Here is an 18,132-nt window from a genome sequence, read left to right as displayed (position 1 = left end):
GTAAGAGTGAGTGACAAAGTTCCTTTATGGGACCTTTGTAGGGGGCAATTGGAGAAGATGCTGAGGCCAGAGCAAGCACTGAGGGCTATATCTCTTCAGTTTTATCCAGAAGACAGTAAGGAACTGTCAGTATTTCCAAGAGAAAAGCATATGTTAGAAGGATCCTCTGGCATCTGTGTGGGGTATGGATGAAGAAGGTTGCACGTGGAGGCTGGAAGTACATTTAGAAAGTTGTTTCAGACCTGTGATCCCAGCACTTTGGGAGGCCGAGGTGGGCAGATCACTTGAGGTGAGGAGTTTGAGGCCAGCCTGGCCAATATGGTGAAACCCTGCCTCTACTAAAAATACAACAGTTAATTGGCTGTGGTGGCAGGTGCCTGTAATCCCAGCTACTTGGGAGGCTGAGGCAGGAGAGTCGCTTGAATCCAGGGGGTGGAGGTTGCAGTGAGCTGAGATCACACCACTGCACTCTAGCCTGGGCGACAGAGTGAGAGAGAAAAACAAAAGAAAGTTGCTTCAGAAATCTAGCAGGAACTTACAAGAAAATATACATGCAGCACACAAAACACAGGGCCGAACACTAAGAAATATTAGGGCCATTTTGTTTCTTTTCCCTGAATGAGGGAAATGACTGTGGGAATAAAGAGAAAGTGAGTGGATAAAAGAGGCTTTTGGAAGCTATAAATCCTTGATGAACAAGTATTGAATAAATGATGCAGTATCTTTTGGGGATGCTGAGTGGTCTGACTGTTAAGCACCCCATGGTGGGGATGAGGGTTACTAAATAACTGTGTCCCATGTCCTCTCCTCTCACTAGAAGCTCTTAAAAATCCAGACATCCAACAAGAGACCAATAGGATACACTGATGTTTTATGAATGGGGCCAGGACCAGCCTGAGTGTGGAGCCTCGTGGGCTGAGTTTCCCCGGGATTCAGAGCCCTGAGGTTGAGTTTTCTACTGGTCAGCTGGATCAGGTAATCAGTACCTGTGGGTTGGTGGCGGCAGGGAGTTGGGGTCATGCGAGAGGGATTGCGTCTCTGGAAGCCTTTTGTGCTGTCCCATGAAGGGCCCCTTTAGGGAGGGTGGGTGATATGGACAACATGAATGAGGGACAGAGGGCCATATATTCTCAGTTATGCACAAGGCAGCCAGCTCAGCTGCAGGAGGAGATTGCCCACTTGTTCATCATATCCAGATTCTTGCCGTTAGGTCTCCCCTCCTACATGAGGCGTGGATTGGTGGTGAAGTAGGTTGGTGGTGAGCACTAAACGGGAAAGAGTAAAGGTATAGTTGCCTAAAGTACGGACCGTTTCAGGCAATTATAGGAGAGTGGACAGTAATGATGAAATTGATGGAAATTTGGTGCAAGGGGGGAAGAGGGATCCTCTGACAGAGACCCTGCCATCATCAGTCTAGGCAGGGAAGGGACACTGAGATGTCAAGATGTCATCACATCTATTCCTGGAAATGCAGGGCTGCACTTCCAGCCATACCCGGGGGAAGCTGTCTGCTCTTTCTGAAAATATCTTGAGATTTCGTTAACACATTGTCCCTTTTAATATACACCACTGTCTTACCACCCTAGGGAACTTTTTTTCTCTCTCTCTCTCTCTTTTTTCTTTCTTTCTTTTTCTTTTTCTGTGTGTGTGTGTGTCTAATCTAATTCCTTACAGCTGCAATATATTCTGTTTTTCCTTGCAGTTCAGCTGCTATAAAGAGACAGTGCCCGGCCACCCATACAGCATTCCATTGTGGCAGACAATGGACTGGTGAAATGCAACGTAGACAGTCTGAGGACCCTGTGCAATGGAAACTCCAATTGAAATTGTACATAGTCACTAACATTCTACCTATTCAAGGGGGCTGAAGACAGAGTCTAAGAAAAAGCTCTGAAGCCAGAGCACTGTTGCAGCCTCGGCCTCATTTTCCAACAGGTACACTAGAGTTATAAATACACGCATGGGCCACAGGGATGGCAGAGGTAGACAGGAGCTGCGTGGGTGTGGGCCAGCTCCCGGGCTCATCTTTGGCACTATGGAGTGCTGGCATGTTGTACTTGTTCCGTGAGAATCTGGGTCCACACTTCTATTCTGCATCCCTGGTTTCTCAAAGGGACAGTGACCTCTACCAAGAAAACAGCTAGTGGGGCTGTTTACATGGAACAATGAGGCTTGGTGTTGGTCTGGATCTGGTTAACTGGGGGAAAGGAAGGGAGTCGCTATGACTTTATCCCACTTTGCTTTGCAGAAGTCTTTCATATAATCAGAGGGCTAGAAAAGAAACAGAAATACATATGCCGGCTGCTACATTTTACAGAAGAGGAAATGGAGGCACCCAGAGATAAAGCCACTTATACAAAATCATGGTGAGATAAGGGTTCTCAGAGATTGGTTGTGTGTAAGAGAAACCCAGTTGAACAAGGTGAGGGTCAAGGTAAGCCCAAGACCTCGGGGCAAGAAGTGCCAAAAGGAATGGAACCAGGAGCTTAAAACCTTTGGAAACTAAGGTTTCTTATTCTCCTTCTCTCTCTTTTCCATATGGTCTCTCGTATTTGTTTCTCTGCTCATCTCTTTACATCTCGTTTTTCTCAATAGCCCAACCTCTTCATGAGCCAAATCTGTTCCCCGTGTTCTCTCCCAGATGATGCCCCAGCAGAGATGAATGGTGGCCCTAGGCTGGAGCACCCCTGACCACGTTCCAGTGACAGCTTTGGGGAAGTGTAGATCTGACTGGCCCATCCTGGTTCAGGGCTTCCTCTCCACCTCTGCTTCCCAAACCCCTCACCCTCTCACAGGGACTACAGAGCAGGGGTTCTGAAAAGAACAGGGAAATTGGCTACCCTGTCTACTAAGTGATAGAACTATAACGAGCTCTTGGACTCCTTTTCCTGTGCTTTTCCATTACACTGGGCTGTGTCCACATGAACACTCAGAAGTCAAGTACAAGTTGAAATGGGAATTTGGAATGGGGTTTAGGACGAGAGAGAATTATCTGTTTCTTAGATCTAAAACCTCATGCTTTGTTCTGGGCCTTCCATCTGCCTCTGTTTTGTTTTGTTTCTCAGACTCTTTAGATGGATGAGGGTGGCCTGTTTATTGACTTCACCTGAGCTTCCAATGGCTAGCTTGGCATTATTCTAGAAACCTGGCTTCACTAAAATAAATAATAATGAAAAGAGTTTTTCGGCAATTCAGCAATCTTCTCAAATCGACTGTAGAATTTAGAGCTGAAATTGAAAAGACACATTTGGTCGGACCTTCCCCACCTTCATTTTACAGATGGGGAAACTGAGACTCTGCGAGATCAAAAGGACTAACGCAAGTGATCCTAAAATCTAGTGGCAGACATGAGGCTAATGAAGACTCTGTTCCTGATCTGCTGCTGCCTGAAACAGCTGCTTACAACAGCTCCTTCCTCGGGCCTGGAAACCAGATGTGAGGACATTTGGGAAATGATAATCCACTTGAAAAGCTGACCAGTGGCCAGGCCTTCTTTGCATGTTTCTGAAGAGCCCAGATAGTCATTGCCTTCCTCAAGGACAGACAACATAGTCTGCCTAGCCCACCGAGCTGCCAGGAGAAGCCAAGTGTCAGAGGCTTTAGTCCCTGGCGTGGCTCCTCCACTCCAGAGAGGAGCTGAAGGCAATTCTCTCGGTGCCCCGTAGCAGCAGAGAAATCTTTCTCCAGCCCTCGTGTACATCCTTGGGACAGAAACACACAGCCATTCTCCCTGCTCACAGCCAGGCCCCGTCAGCATAGAGAAGCACTTAGGGTTCCTTTGTGGGGTGCAAATCCAAACATGCAGTGATTTAATTTTTCTAACAACAGCATTTCTAGTCTTCCCACAGCACTAATCAGTTGCCACTAGAGCATCTCTTGCTTCCAAACATTTCCCTTTTTTTTTGCTTCTGGGAAAGCCCACAGTTCAGGACCCTTATCCACTTGGATGGCAATTCCATTCTTTGGCTTCTCTGGGGTAGATCAGACTTAAAAAAAAAACGAAAGCAAAAAAATCAAGCTTCCTTACCTATACCTATCTCTTCACAAATTCCTGTATCATGTTTGATTTATTTATCAGCCATGAGTGGATCCCACACTGCAGGACCCTAGGCAGTAATGGATCACCAGAGGGAAGAGATACCCTTTGCAGGCCACTCCTGACTTTTCTCTGCAGCTAGTGGCCTTGGGTCAGAGTCATTTTCCTCTCAGCAGGGCAGGTATCTCACTTGTAAAAGCTGAAGAATAGAAATGTTGGGGCCATAGTGATAGTCATCAGTTGGTCTACTGTGCAGTTTCAGGGTGAGGGTGGCAGCCACATTAACTACGAAGTCAGTGGCCTCTGGAACTGTGTAATACACACCTGCACACCCATGCAAAATGGCCCACTTGGTACCAGAACTCTAAATGCGAAGTTTTCCCAAGAGTTTGCACTGTGGCCAAGGAAACCCAGGATCCTGACTGGCCTGGCTTTTGGAATAATCGTCAAGAACCAGGGCTATGGGTCAGAGACTTTGAGTTTGAATTGCAGCTCTGCCACTTCCCAGCAGTGAGGCCGTGAACAAGTTAAATTTAGTAAGTGCTCAATAAATCTTTGCTAATTCATCATTATTATTCCTACTGCTACAGTGATCCTGTCTTAACCAGAGGCTGGCCCACCTGTGTGGCTCTGGTTCTCCCTCTGGCTGAATTGCACACTTCTGCACTTGGTCTTAGCCAAGAGGCCAAGAAGCAACTACCATTGCACACTTCTGGCCCTGAGGTGCATCTCTAGGTTTTAGGGCCCTTTCCAACTCACCTTGTCCTTGGTTATCTGACACAGGAAATCTGAATTCCTCCTCCTAAGCCTCATCACCCACCTTTTCCATAGCTGCCTAATGTCTTTTCATGGAAAAGTGTTTTGGCAGCAATTTGAATGATGAACTAGCCATTGAGTATTCACGAATAAATGAAGCAAATCCAAAATATCTTGCAATGAACACATTCATTGCAGCAATTGACCAAGCTGTCTGAGTCTTAAAATGAATCCAAGGTCTCCTGGAGATATTTTTTGCTTGTCTTTTGGTGAGATTTGCAGACAGAGCCTACTCCAAATATTTCTGAGTCTGTTGTTTAGTGCTATTTTGAGTGCTTTCACATGTGGAATTTATTCCTATACTTAGCTCTTACCCAGCACCCTGGGGTACTTGAAAATGTTTTCAATTGACCAACTGTAGTGTATTAACAAAACCTTGCATGTGCTTTGCAAAGCACTTAAATCCAGCTGACTTCCTATCTCAGCCTCCTTTTCCGGCATAATCTCCAGCCCAAGCTGTGCTGACCACACCTTTTGCAAAACTTTGACCAAAGAATGTGCCCAGCTGAGGATTGCCAGATCCCACAGACAGCATCAGGTCCCTATTATTGAGTGAGCCACAGAAATAAAATGCCATTGATGCCAGAAAGTGGGCTCTCAGAAAAATTTCAATTGGAGAAATACAACAGAAACATACACAATTAGGAGCATTGCCCAGTGTCTGGGCAATGTAGAATTTTTTACCCAAAGCTCTGTCCTTCTGTGTAGATAAAGGATATCGCTTGTCAAACAACACAGTGGCAATGTTCTGACTTTCTTATGCTTAAGCATGAACAAAAAACCTGGAGCTCATACCTCCACTCACCTTTCTTTTCTAATTGATCAAACTAAGCATTCTGACTCAGCGTTGTCCCGTGTCTAGGAAAAGAGAAACAGTTACCCACCCGGGAAACAGCGAAAGAGTGGTGCCTTGTAGTAAGGCTCTTTATATAACAAGAACGCAATCTGAAACTCCTAAGCCCTAGAAGATTTAGCCCAAATTAAGGACCTTGTTAGCAGCTGATTCCCAAGCCCTTCCTCTCCTTTCATTTCTTTTGTCGACTTGCAGCAAGCCACACAAAAGGAATCTCTTTCTTCTTCTGCCCACAGATTCCTTTCTCAAAAGCCATTCTAAGAAATAATCCAATTCTGTCTCAAATATAAGGGCTTTCATTCTCAGTCCATTATACTGTTTATCTTGGGAATTTCTTTCCAGTTTTAGGTTTTTGTTTTTTTTTTTCTACCCAAAGTTAAGCACATGGCTTGCACTGTGAGGAAGATTGTACTAGTGGTAGGAAATAGACCACCATCTTGGTATTGTGATCAAGCCACATGGGTTCTGGGCCCCGCGCTTTGTAAGCATACTTGGCAGAGGAAAATATATTTGTACTAAGAGGCAAATTATCCACAGTCAAAATGACTAATCATTGTTTAACTTAAATGTGAAAGATAATGGAGAGAGGAATGTAGCATTTGTAAGGAACTGAAAGACTGAATAATGTATTAGCAGGTGAGGTGTGGGCCTGTGAGTATGGACATATACCCATGGTATGTTTGTGTGTGGGGTTTATGTAAAACATAGAAAGACATATCTACTTCTGCAAAAATAAATCAAGAAAATATGCTATCTACTGCTACACTAGCATCACTACAGCACCACTATTAGCTGCTTTAACAAACAACCCAGGCAAGCTCAGTTTTTCTTAATTCCTTTAAAAATGTTTTATATATTTGAAATATCATATAATGGTATTTTGCTGACAAATCATAGAATCAAATGGCAAAATTTTTAAACACAGATAAAAAATTAAAACCATGGTGCAACACATAACACTATAAAATCTCTACTTCTGACTACTTCACAATTTAAAGTGGTGGTTTGTTATGCGAATAAAACCTATTTTGAATTTGCCCTATGAAAAATGACACAGAGATCAATAGTAAACTTTTTGGTGCTTCAAATGGGCTCAAATACATCTTGTTAGAATGGAGAATATCTTAGCATGGCTGATAACACAAAGGCAAATGATCCAGTAGTGTAGAGAAGGAAAATTGAAAGAGATTTTAAATTTGCTCATTCTGGTCTAGGGGAGGAATATTTGCCTGCTAATTTGCTCAAGGGCTGACATTCATGGAGCAAATTTTTCATCTTCGTGTTTCCATCTTAGGGAATTATTCTGGAGACTTCATATGCCTCCACCTCCACATCGAATTGGCCATCATATCCTGCAGAATTCACCTCTGAGGAGCTCTGGGACTCTCTCCTTTCCCCTTTGACTGCCATTGCCTTAAAACCAGCCTGTGGCATCTGCTTCTTAGGTTGCTATATTCTGTGCCTCTAACATCGTTCTCAACCCATTCTCCCTGCTCCAGCCAAAGAGAGCCTTCTGGAATAGAGAGCTACATGCCTTTTAACTGTTTAAAAACGCTCGGTGGGTTCTGGTTCTGGTCAAAATGCATGAAGCACATACCACTTTGTCTCTCCCACTGAATGCAGTGAAAATCCCTGGAGAAAATGCAGGGAGCAGCTACCGGCAGACACAGAAAAGTAAAACAATAACAGACAGATTGGGGAAGAACTCCAAGTACTGCAGAATGGGTAGCAGATGTAGTTGCAGGAAGAGCACAACAGAACAGAGAAATTAAAGCCCTGTATTTCTAGCCTGTGTACCCGGAAGGGGACCACCTACAAGCTGCAAAGTGTTAGGGAGATGCCAGAGAAGAGGGAGCTCAAGGAAGGGATCCTAGAAAGATGTAGATGAACTCCTGGGCTGCACATACCCCTGACTACTTAGTAAAAATCTCTGCTAAGGTGCCGGAACACCTGTGCACGTGGCTCCCACCTCAGGGGCGGCCTGCAAATGATTAGGCAGTTTCCAGAGCCCTTGGCATTGGTGCCAGATGAACCAGGGTTCAAATCTCTGTTCTGTGGGTCATCCTCCTCACCAGCTGTGTAAACCAGACAGCCAACACCCTCATCACCCTCTCTAGGCACAAAAAGAATTAACAAGAATTTGGGGGCTGAGTGAGTAGTGACAGAAGAGATTAGAAAAGTGTTCTACGAAAGGTGCCTGCTTTGGTTGGGATATGGTTTGTTTCCCCCACCAAATCTCATGTTGCGTTTGATCCCTAGTGTGGCTGTGTTGGAAGGTGGGACCTAATGGGAGATGTTTGGATCATGGGGGTGGATCCCTCATGGGTGAGTTGATGTCCTCCATTGGGAGTGAGTGGGTTCCAGGGGTTTGTAGAGGAAGTGGCTGGCACATTCCCTGGGGCTGGAGGACAAAGGAAGGGAGCAGAGGGAGGCTGAGACCCTGGCTTGCCCACAGGCCACCTACATGTTCAGGACACAACTGGGCTGGCTGGGAATGGGGATGAATGACCCGTGATGGCGGCAGCAGTACTCTACGGGTTCTTCCTGCACATGCACTCTGATCAGGGACACATGATGGCAGAACATACAGAGGGCCATATGGAGTTTTGTGTTCTCTTTCCAATTTCTGCATGTATCCTCAGTCTTAACAGTAGAGTCTCTGTTTCCTTAGCTGACATTCTAACTGCCCCCTAGACAGCCCCACCTGAGTCATCCTTCACATCTGTGCACCCAACAACCCATCTTCCCCTTTTTCCAAAGAGGCCCATTAAAGGTTAGTGAAAGTCCAAGAGCAGCATTTCTTCCCATGTAGTGTGGCAGGAAATTCTTCTTTACATTCATGCACTCTTTTTCTCTCTCTCCTGTGAAACTTCATAAAAGTCTACCCCTCTGGCCCCTCATTTTCCTTCCCCTTTGACTTTCCCATCTTGAGTGTCTCTGCCAGTGCCATCTGGCTGCCTCAGGTTCTGTTGTCCTTTTTGTTCACTCTGGACCCTGCTCTCCTGTTCACCTCATTTCAACATGTGCTTCTAATTTTTTAATCATTCTTAGGTTGATGATCGTGCCATGTATCCCCTGAATGAAGATGACAGCATTGATGAGCACAGCTTATTGTTGAAGTCAACACATGTCTATTTTTAATGATAGAAACTAATGAATTTGCAGAATTGTGTTTTTGGTGCACAGGACGTTTCATTATAAGTGGCTCAGAAATAGTGAATAAGTTTCAGTTTCATAGTCAGCTGTATACTTGCGGCGTCAGTAGGTCCTGGTGGTTGGAAGGACATAGAATGTGGAAGATGAAGTCATGTTTCTTCTCCCATTGGAAGGGACTCACCTCTGCTCTCATTTTCACTTGCTTCCTGCCCACAGCTCTGGCCCCAGCCCTCTGATCTGACTTAGGAATGGTTTCTTCAAGTTCCCTTTATGCCAAGCTAATCCCAGGGCCCTCGGGCACTGATCCCACACAGTCCCAATGCCAGGAGAGCAAAAATCTCTGCCAAGATACTGGAACACCTGTGCACATGGCCCCCACCTCAGGGGCATCCTGCGAACGAATAAGCAGCTTCCAGAGCCCCTGGCATTGGTGTCAGATGAACCAGAGTTCAAATCTCTGTTCTGTGGCTCAACCTCCTCAGCAACTGTGTAACCCGGAGAGCCATCATCCTCATCACACTCTCTGGGCTCAGTTTCTTCATCTGTTAAATGGGGATAATCTAGGCTCAGTTTCTTCATCTGTTGAATGGGGCTAATCTGCCCAAACCATCCACCACAGAGCTTTGTGCATTACCGATGGATAAGAAAGGTTTTTAAATTTTTTGTCTATGCTTCCAGCTGTAACCGTGGCCCCTCCTCCTGCCCAGCTAACCCAATCCTGACAGTGCAGCCTGAGCCACTCACATTCCTTTCCCTCTCCTCTCGGGCGGGAGTGGGTTGGCAGTTAAGACTGTACAGTTCATTAGCGGGCAATTGGACAGGTGACCCTGCCTGCTGGCAAAATAAACAGCTCAAGAGAAAGCAAATGTCTGGGCTTAGCACCAGGGTGAGGCAGCTGAGTGGGACCTGTGGGCATTGGGGGAGGGAGGGGATCTTCAGTTTCAATATAACAAAAAACCAGGGGGTGCAGTTAACATCACCACCATCTGGCAGCTTCCTGAACACTGAGACCAAGGGAAGTTTCATGGGGATGAGGCCAGACCAGAAGGTATTTCTCAACCTTCTAGATAGTGCACGGTTTGGTTGGGGAGGGAACTTTAGAGATCAAGTGTAGATAGGTAGATGGTGGCATAAAAAGTGAGCAGAGATCACAGAAAACGAATTTAAGAGACGGATGTTGCAGGACCTTCTTTGTGGCTTTTTGACTGCCCACTCACTCTCCTTCCTCTCAAGCAACAGTCACTGAACTCCACCCCCTGAAACTCCTGAAGGCCCAGGGGTGATGTGAGGAGTGAGCCAGGGTGCAGCTCTACCCACTGTGATATGGGTGGGCTGGGTTCAGCTGGGAGCCCCTCTCCTCTAGTGCTGAGACCCTGGCTCCCACTCCCTCTCTCTGCCCCGGATCCCATCTTCCCGGGGCCACATGGCTGGCCCCATGTATCTGACCACCTGCCCTGCGGCTGCCCGCCGTGGAGAGGCCCACAGAAGCCTCTCTTCCATTTCGCAAGACAAACAGAGGAACAGATGGACGGGGCTGGCTGAGTGCCCAGAGCACAGCTGTCCCAGCTGCCTGCTCTCGTGCACTTTGCACCACCTGACATTGGCCTCTGTGAGCATTCGGCGGGGTGGGTGGTGGGGGGCTGGCCGGAGGACCCTGCAGTAACAGTAATCAGACTTCACGTCTCGTCAACTGTCTCTCCTCTTTTCAGTTGAAGAAATGGACTTCCCTGTCTGCTGAAGCAGGAAATAGGGGTGCAAGAAACAGGACAAGGAATGGGATAAGGAAAAATCTCAAACAGGAAGCCTAGTGCCCAGCCCGGCAATGGCGTGGGTGTTTATTTTTCTCACCACAATCCTATCAGGAATTTCCCAGGTTTTGTGGATATGTTGATCCTGCACACAATACTCAAGGCCCCCAGAGTTCAGCATCTTCAACTTTTCCTTAAAGGGGCAGTCACCTGGAACAGGGGAGTGTTCAGATGAAACATTTGCTCTGCCCAACACTCTGTCGCCTGAAATCCTCCCAAAGTCTGGGCTTCTTGCTGGTCATGGTCTCCTTGGTCTACGAGTGCTTTCTTAAGTTCCATTGCCCTGGGGTAGCAGGCAAGGAATCTGAGTCAAAGGAGGGGAAACTCAACATCAGTGTCGGGCTTTGCTCCCAACAGCAAAATCTTGGCATTCCAGCCTCAGGCACACGCATCCCTCCTTTCTCCTTGGAGATGTCTCCGTGGTGTTCTCTGTCTCTCATGGGCCCCAGCGGCAGTTCTCCTGGAGGTTTCTTTGGGTCACCAGCTCTTCATCACTTCCTGCAACCCCTTTTTCTGCCATGGGGCTGTAGGTGGGTTGGTCCCACTCCCCTGGCTCTCCTGGCTGGGAGCGGCCTTCCTGTTGCTTTCTGTTGGCAAGGTTGTAGCTGCCTTTGTGGCTTCTTCAATAGACGCAGTGCTGAGCGGAGGAGGGAGAAATGCCCTCTCCTTCCCTGATTACGCTCCAGCTCTAAGCCATAGAACTTAATGACCATGGAGGAAGTGCTCTTTCCTCAGGGCTGTTTCTGTCCACTTTCCCCAGTCTTCCTCTCCTCCTCCCTTCCCTCTGCTGAGGTTTGTGGCAGAACGTCTGGGTGGATGGCCCAACGAGGACGTGGCAGACACTAGATTCTGCTCCCTCTTCATTGCTCCTTCCTCAGACCCACAGCCAGTGCCCTAGGACTGAGCTTACACTCACTGACTCGGTGCCTGCAAGTGAAGTGTCCTCCTATTTCGTCCCTTGCCCCAGGGCTTAAGGGACAGTGGTAGCTGACCAGCCTCGGTGGCTCTTTAGACTGTGGAAATAAAACCACGGCTGACCTATCCCTGTGGACCAAGTTCTCAGTCAAACTACAGAAAAACTCTTGAGAATATATGAAATGAAAAACTACAGAGGAGACGATGAGTAGATTCTTCTTGTTTGGGGAGGTTTCGTGACTCCTTTAGAACTTGGAAAATGCTTCCTTTATGAGTAAAAGAAAAATAATCACCAAATTTAGGGTTATGTTGTTGTATAGCTTTATCTTTATTATCTCTGCTTCTATTATGTGATGAAGAGGGATACAGACCCAGAAGGTTAAACAGAATAAGACTCTCTTTTAATTAGCTCTATCAACTGATAGGACATAGAGCCATCAAAGCGTACATGAGCCACATTTTCAAGAGGTGGGGACAGCTGGCCTGAAATCCCAGAGTCATCCTTGGAAGCCTTGGATACCAGAAGTATTCGGGTGAGTTAGAAAGGGCATTCTAATTAGGTCTGGGGAAAAATTAAGGTTAAAGAGGTTTAACTAAGTGCAAGGGTTGTTAAGTGTCTTCGTCATTTTCTGTTTGTATAACAGACTACCATAGACTAGGTAATTTCTAAAGAAAAGAAATTTATTTTTTACAGTTCTGGAGGCTGAAGTCCAAGGTCAAGGTCAAAGAGCCACATCTGGTGAGGGCCTTCCTGCTGGTGGGGACTCTGCAGAACCCTGAAGCATTGCAGGGCATCACATGGTGGGGGAGCTTGAGCACACCAAACTGGCTTTTACTAGAGACCCACTCTCATGATAACTAACCCACTCCTGTGATAACCCATTAATTAATTAACCCACTAATCCATTAGTCAATTAATAGATTAATCCATTGATGAGGGAAGAGCCTTCATGACCAAATCACCTCTTAAAGGCCCTACTTCTTAATACTATTATAATTGGGATTAAATTTCAACATGAGTTTCAGAGGGGACAAACATTCAAGCCATAGCAATAAGAAAGCTATACAATTGTTCCTGTGTGCATATTTCTTTTCTTTTCTTTTCTTTTCTCTTTTCTTTTCTTTTCTCCCTTCCTTCCTTCCTTCCTTCCTTTCTTTCTTTCTTTCTTTCTTTCTTTCTTTCTTTCTTTCTTTCTTTCTTTCTTTCTTCCTTTCTTTCTTTCTTTCTTTCTGAGATGGAGTTTTGCTCTGTCACCAGGCTGGAGTGCTGTGGCGCGATCTCGGCTTACTGCAACCTCCACCTCCTGGGTTCAAGCGATTCTCCTGCCTCAGCCTCCTGAGTAGCTGGGATTATAGGCGTGTGCCACCACGCCCGGCAATTTTTTTTGTATTTTTAGTAGAGACGAGGTTTCACCATGTTGGTCAGGCTGGTCTCAAACTCCTGACCTCGTGATCCACCCCGTCCACCTCCCGAAGTGCTGGGATTACAGGCGTGAGCCACTGCGTCCAGCCTGTGCATATTTCTTTAAACCTTATTCTACTTGTATTGTTTCAATGTATTATTTGGTGAAACTATTAATCCCACCATTTTTAAGATCTCATGTTTAAATATCTCAATTTTGTTTGTAAAAGGATAATAGGATAGAAAAGCATGTGATTATTTTCTACTCTTAACCATACCAAAATGATTAGGAAAGCCACACAGACATCAGCAAGGTACTGTTGCTTGCATAATGCTGGCATGTCCCAACATGTCCCAAATGCAGGCAAAGTTCCAGAGAAGGCATTACCACTTGCTAACAGATTCTGGCTATATGACTCATCTCCAGTGAACAGGATCAGTGTTATTTGATTTTGCACTATCAGAGTGGTGGGTAAATGAACATGATTTTCCTCTCCTGCTTGTCAATGTGTCCAAATGATTAATATCTTATGAGAACAAAATGAATCCAATGATAGCTAGCATTTATCAAATACTCATTATGTATCTGGAACCGTTAGTCATTTCCATAAAGTAGATCATTTAATTCTTCACAAACCCTGTGAAGTAGGCATTATGGTCTCCATTTTGCTGAAGAGGAAAATGAGATGAAGAAAATGCTAAATCACTGCTCAAGGTCACAGAGCAGGTGAGTAGTGGGGAGGGGATTCTGCATCACATCTGGCCAGATTCCAGAACCTGGGCAGAATAACTCCTGGAAGTGAGGGAGAAATTTTAGGTTGTGCCTAAATTAAAAGTTGTCCTTTGCCTGCCAGAGTTTCTAATAGCCCCTTCTTTAATCAATGTACCATTTTTTACCCTTTGATAAAGTAATAATTTTCACCCCCTGCAAATTTAAAAGTATATTGAATCAGGTTAGAACCATTTCTGTCCCAGGAATATCCAATAAAAGGCTTGGTTGTTTCCCCAAGGATTTAGTGTTCCTGTAAGAAGTGTTTTTCCTGATATTATCAAAGTGTATGTCTTATTTTTGCATTGCCTTGACTTCTTTAAGTCAAGATTTTGTAGTGTGGGAGATTGATGGATTGATTGTTGTAAACAAACTTGTGTATGTGAAAATATATGTACATCCACTTTCGTAGGGAACACAACATTTTTTATGGTTGTCAGATTATTTCAACCAAAAACTGAATGCTTTTTATTTAAAAAAATTTCAGCCACAAAATATGTACATTGTATAGGAAATGTATTGGTTACAATATATCTTATATTTTACACCAATTTTGCAGCTTTTGTCAATTTTACTATTTAAAAAATTTATTTGCTTCTGTGATGGTGAATTTTATGTGCCAACTTGGCTAGACCATGGCTTCAAGCTTTTGGTTAAACACTAGTCTACATATTGCTGTAAAGGTACTTTTTAGACATGATGAACTTTTGAATCAGCAGACTTTGAGAAAGCAGATTATTTTTCATTACATGAGTGGGCCTCATCCAGTCAATTGAAGATTTTAAGAAGTAAAAGACTGAGGTACCCCTAGGATGAAGAAATTCTGATCCAGTCTGCCTTCAGACTTGAGCTGCAACATCAACTCTTTCCTGGGTCTTCAGCCTGGCTGTTTGCTCTGTAGACTTTGGACTTGCCAGCCCGTATAACTATGTGAGCCAATTCCTTAAATCCCTCTCTCTCTCTCTCTCTCTCTCTCTACGTGTGTGTGTGTGTATGTATATATATATATATATATACATACACACACATAGACACATGCACACACACATTCTGTTGGTTCTATGAGTATTATTCCTTGCAATATGCATACCATGTTGTGTCCAATAGTCCATATATTATTGATGACACTGAAAGTTATTTTCACACTGGTAGTTGCCAAAGGAAATGAATAAAATTCAAATCATTTCAGCAAATTTGGAGTAGCACATTCTTTGTGAAAAATGTATTTTCACTTTTCAAGAAATGTGTTCCTTCAAAAATCGGGCATAATATTTAAGGGAAAATTTGCAAGCAGCCCTGTTCTCCATGGTGACAACATGCAGAGTAGAGCTACTTCATTGAAACAAGATTTCTAGTGATTAGCTAAAACCCAAAGCTCCAAATCACAGTGAAGTGGATTTTTAAAAGGAAACCCTGTCTCCCAGTGTTTGAGGACTATGTATATATACAGGGTCTCAGAGTCAATGTGTTGAGTATATGAACTCTTAAATAGTCCTTCCACAATAGAAAGAGAAAGAAGTAGTGATGGAGCATCTGCAGGTGAGAGGATTCTAGGATGGGGATTCCAGGAGGGGAAGGGGAAGAGCCCAGAGTTGGTGATGTGGTATGGGTGTGTGGTCTATCACGGCTTCCATAAATGCTCAGGCTGTCTATCCCTTTGGAGCAAGATTACTGTTAAGCCCTATACCACCAACTTGGAGCATAAACAATGTCATTCCAAAGTAGCATCTCAAAGCAAAACAATGAGAGGTCTAGACCTCACAGATTAGCAGGAGACACATCTTACTCCACCCCATCCTTCAAACTTCCTCCAATGGCATATTCTACAATTTTTGGGATGTGTGCCATGTCAAAAGATTAGTTCTAATTATTCTCATTTCTTGGTTGGTGCCAGAACTCTGTTTCACCTTTGAAGGTGCTGCTGTCCTGCTCCTGGAGGCGATATGGCTTGTTTTGCTCTCTCCCTCTGGCAGCCATCCTGACTGGTCTCAGTGCTGCCTGCAGATATATAATGTCCTGTGTAATGCTCGGTCAAGGGGAGCCTCATGAGGGTGTGGATTTGCAGCGTTACAACTCTTTAGGGTTGTGGTTCTTCTTTCCTTTCACTCACTCAGCCATTTCCTTAGGGTGCAAGTCTGTTTCCATGATGGATCACCACTGGGGACAGAATCAGGTGCTGAGGGGGCCTTAAATCCTGGAACCACCATTCCCTCTTAATGCTTGGCCCTTATTGTACTGTCTGTTTCTCCATATGGTGAATTATTTATTTTTCAGAAACACATTGATGTGTAGTCAACAACCAGAAAATCTTGGTGACATATAATCCTGATGTTTATTTATTGCTCATAAGTCTACAAGCCAACTGTGGTTTGATTGATCTAGGTGTGGCTCAGCGGGGCCTGGGTGCAGGTTGCTTTTAGGTCTGCTCCACATGTCTCTCATCCCTTTGGAGTTGGCAAACCACCTGGAGCACAGTCTTCTCATGCAGAAGTGCAGGTGGGAGAACACGTTCCAGCTTTTGCTAACATTGCATCAACACTGCAAATCACATGGCCAAGCCCAAGAGCAATGGCAAGGGGAAGCATCTTACGAAATTTCACCCGAGAGGCAGTGAGGAGTGAATCTCCAAAATTCCAACCAGCACACCATCTAAGCAACTTTACACAGCCTTTCCCTAATTTCTACCTTGCCGACAGTTACCCCACTATGTCTAACAGCCTTAGTAATTTTGAATCCTAAAAGAAAGCATTTGGGTTCTCAGGCTTCTTCTCCCAAGTGTCCACTCTGCTCCCCCAAACAACTGTCTAATCACTTCTCAGCATATTCTAAGCTGCTTATACCAACGCCCCTGTGGGTTACAAGCTATGAATCACCAACTCCCTACCAAGCTGAAGCTCAGGCCTGGTTCAGGCAAAATGTTGTAATAAAGGAATATAGCTCAAAAGAGGTATTATATTGAGTCTCAGCTCTTCATTCCTTTTTATTTGTGCACAGACAAAATATCCACGTCATTCTGCTACTTTGCTGTTCACTTACTCAAATATCTTTGCTTGTTTGCCATTAATTAATATGGAGTTTATTAATGATAGAGAAATAAAAATTATGACAACCTAAGCATGTTCATTATCTGAATATTTGCCAGCCATTATGTACAGAGAGCAGACCAATGTAAAAGATTGTTTTTATATTGCATAATGTTATTTTCTTTAATTGTCTGTGATCAAGTTAGAAATTAATAAATGCATATTTATTCCCTGTGGTCAACCAAGAATCTCTCACTGGTTTAATTTAAATTTGGAAAGGCTGAGTAGAGTAGGACACTACCTAGATGTATGACTGCAACAATTCATTTGGTTTAGTTAGTTTTGAAGGCTGATAGTTGCTAGCAAATAATTACACCATTTATATAAGTCTTTTTGCCCCTTATGGCAAGTTTGATAAGTGATCAGCCAGTAGGTTAATCATGTGTGATATATTTTCAATTTTAATCCCTTATCATTTGGAGTGAGTCTCCCCCATCATTGAGGATGGTTCTACTGAGAAAGGCTGAGGAGGATTGGATGGTAGGAAGTGGGGATTTGGGGGCAGTTCCACCTTAGTTCTCTCCTAACTGACAAAATAAACTTCAACGAGAGCTCAGGCTTTTACTCCCAGACAGGGGAGCGTGTGATGCAGTGTTCAAATCATAGCTCTGGTGTCAGAGACTGGGACGTTTATTTTCACAACACCAATTTTTATTTCTGTGCTTTAAGTGAGTTACACAACCTGGCCAGTCCTTGATTTTGCCTCGTAATATATTTGAAATAAAGTCATATATTTGAAAGAATTTTAGAAAAGTAAGGTACTACACAAATATTTATTTTGTCATTCTCCATATTGTTAACATCCACAGGAAGTTTTCCTTCAATTACGGTTTTCAAAGCAATAAATGCATTTACCTCTCTTTTGTTTCTTTTGTATTTAATGGCAATGTTACAATGGAAAACTTAGGAAATTTGTAGTAGTTTGTTAATATCAAAGCTTTTTTATTTTTCAACACTCCCTGCCTGTTTGTGTTAAAGATATTTTGGTCATGATTGACTTTTACTTTAGTCTTGGATTATATAGTTTCATTTCTTTGATAATAGGAACATAAACAATTTCATGTATTAATGGAAGAGTACTGTGGGTTAGCCCTAAGTTTACTTTTTCCATCTTGGCTTCTCCAGCTCCCACAATGGGTGGCCCATTGTCAGGCTCAAGTTCTCAGCCCTCTCTTGCCTTCAACTCCTGGAGCAGGGGCTGTCTCGAGTGCCAAATTCCCCTAGGTTTATCTGACCTGAACAAAGCTCTGATGTTGAAGGCTGGCTTGACAGTTGCACCTTCCACTCCCCCTCA

The 18,132-nt window shown here is 44.3% G+C and overlaps 1 long non-coding RNA gene across 2 annotated transcripts in view, besides 1 other annotated feature; it reads right to left on the bottom strand.

Annotated features, from left to right (window-relative positions):
• LINC02099 (long intergenic non-protein coding RNA 2099) overlaps positions 1-18,132 on the bottom strand; it is a 50,184-nt gene that overhangs the window by 14,526 nt on the left and 17,526 nt on the right. The window lies entirely within an intron of this gene.
• Positions 12,726-13,925: an enhancer, noted in NCBI's record as "MED14-independent group 3 enhancer chr8:29627558-29628757 (GRCh37/hg19 assembly coordinates)". NCBI's record gives its function as "activates an origin of replication core promoter dependent on BRD2, BRD4, P300/CBP and CDK7 cofactors, and independent of MED14, by STARR-seq in HCT116 cells {active_cell/tissue: HCT116}" and the evidence as "EXISTENCE:reporter gene assay evidence [ECO:0000049][PMID:35650434]".

The sequence above is a fragment of the Homo sapiens genome, chromosome 8 (assembly GCF_000001405.40).
Source record: "Homo sapiens chromosome 8, GRCh38.p14 Primary Assembly".
NCBI lineage: Eukaryota > Metazoa > Chordata > Mammalia > Primates > Hominidae > Homo > Homo sapiens.
Note: the sequence above shows the minus strand (reverse complement) of the source record. Positions and strands in the feature narration are given on the sequence as shown.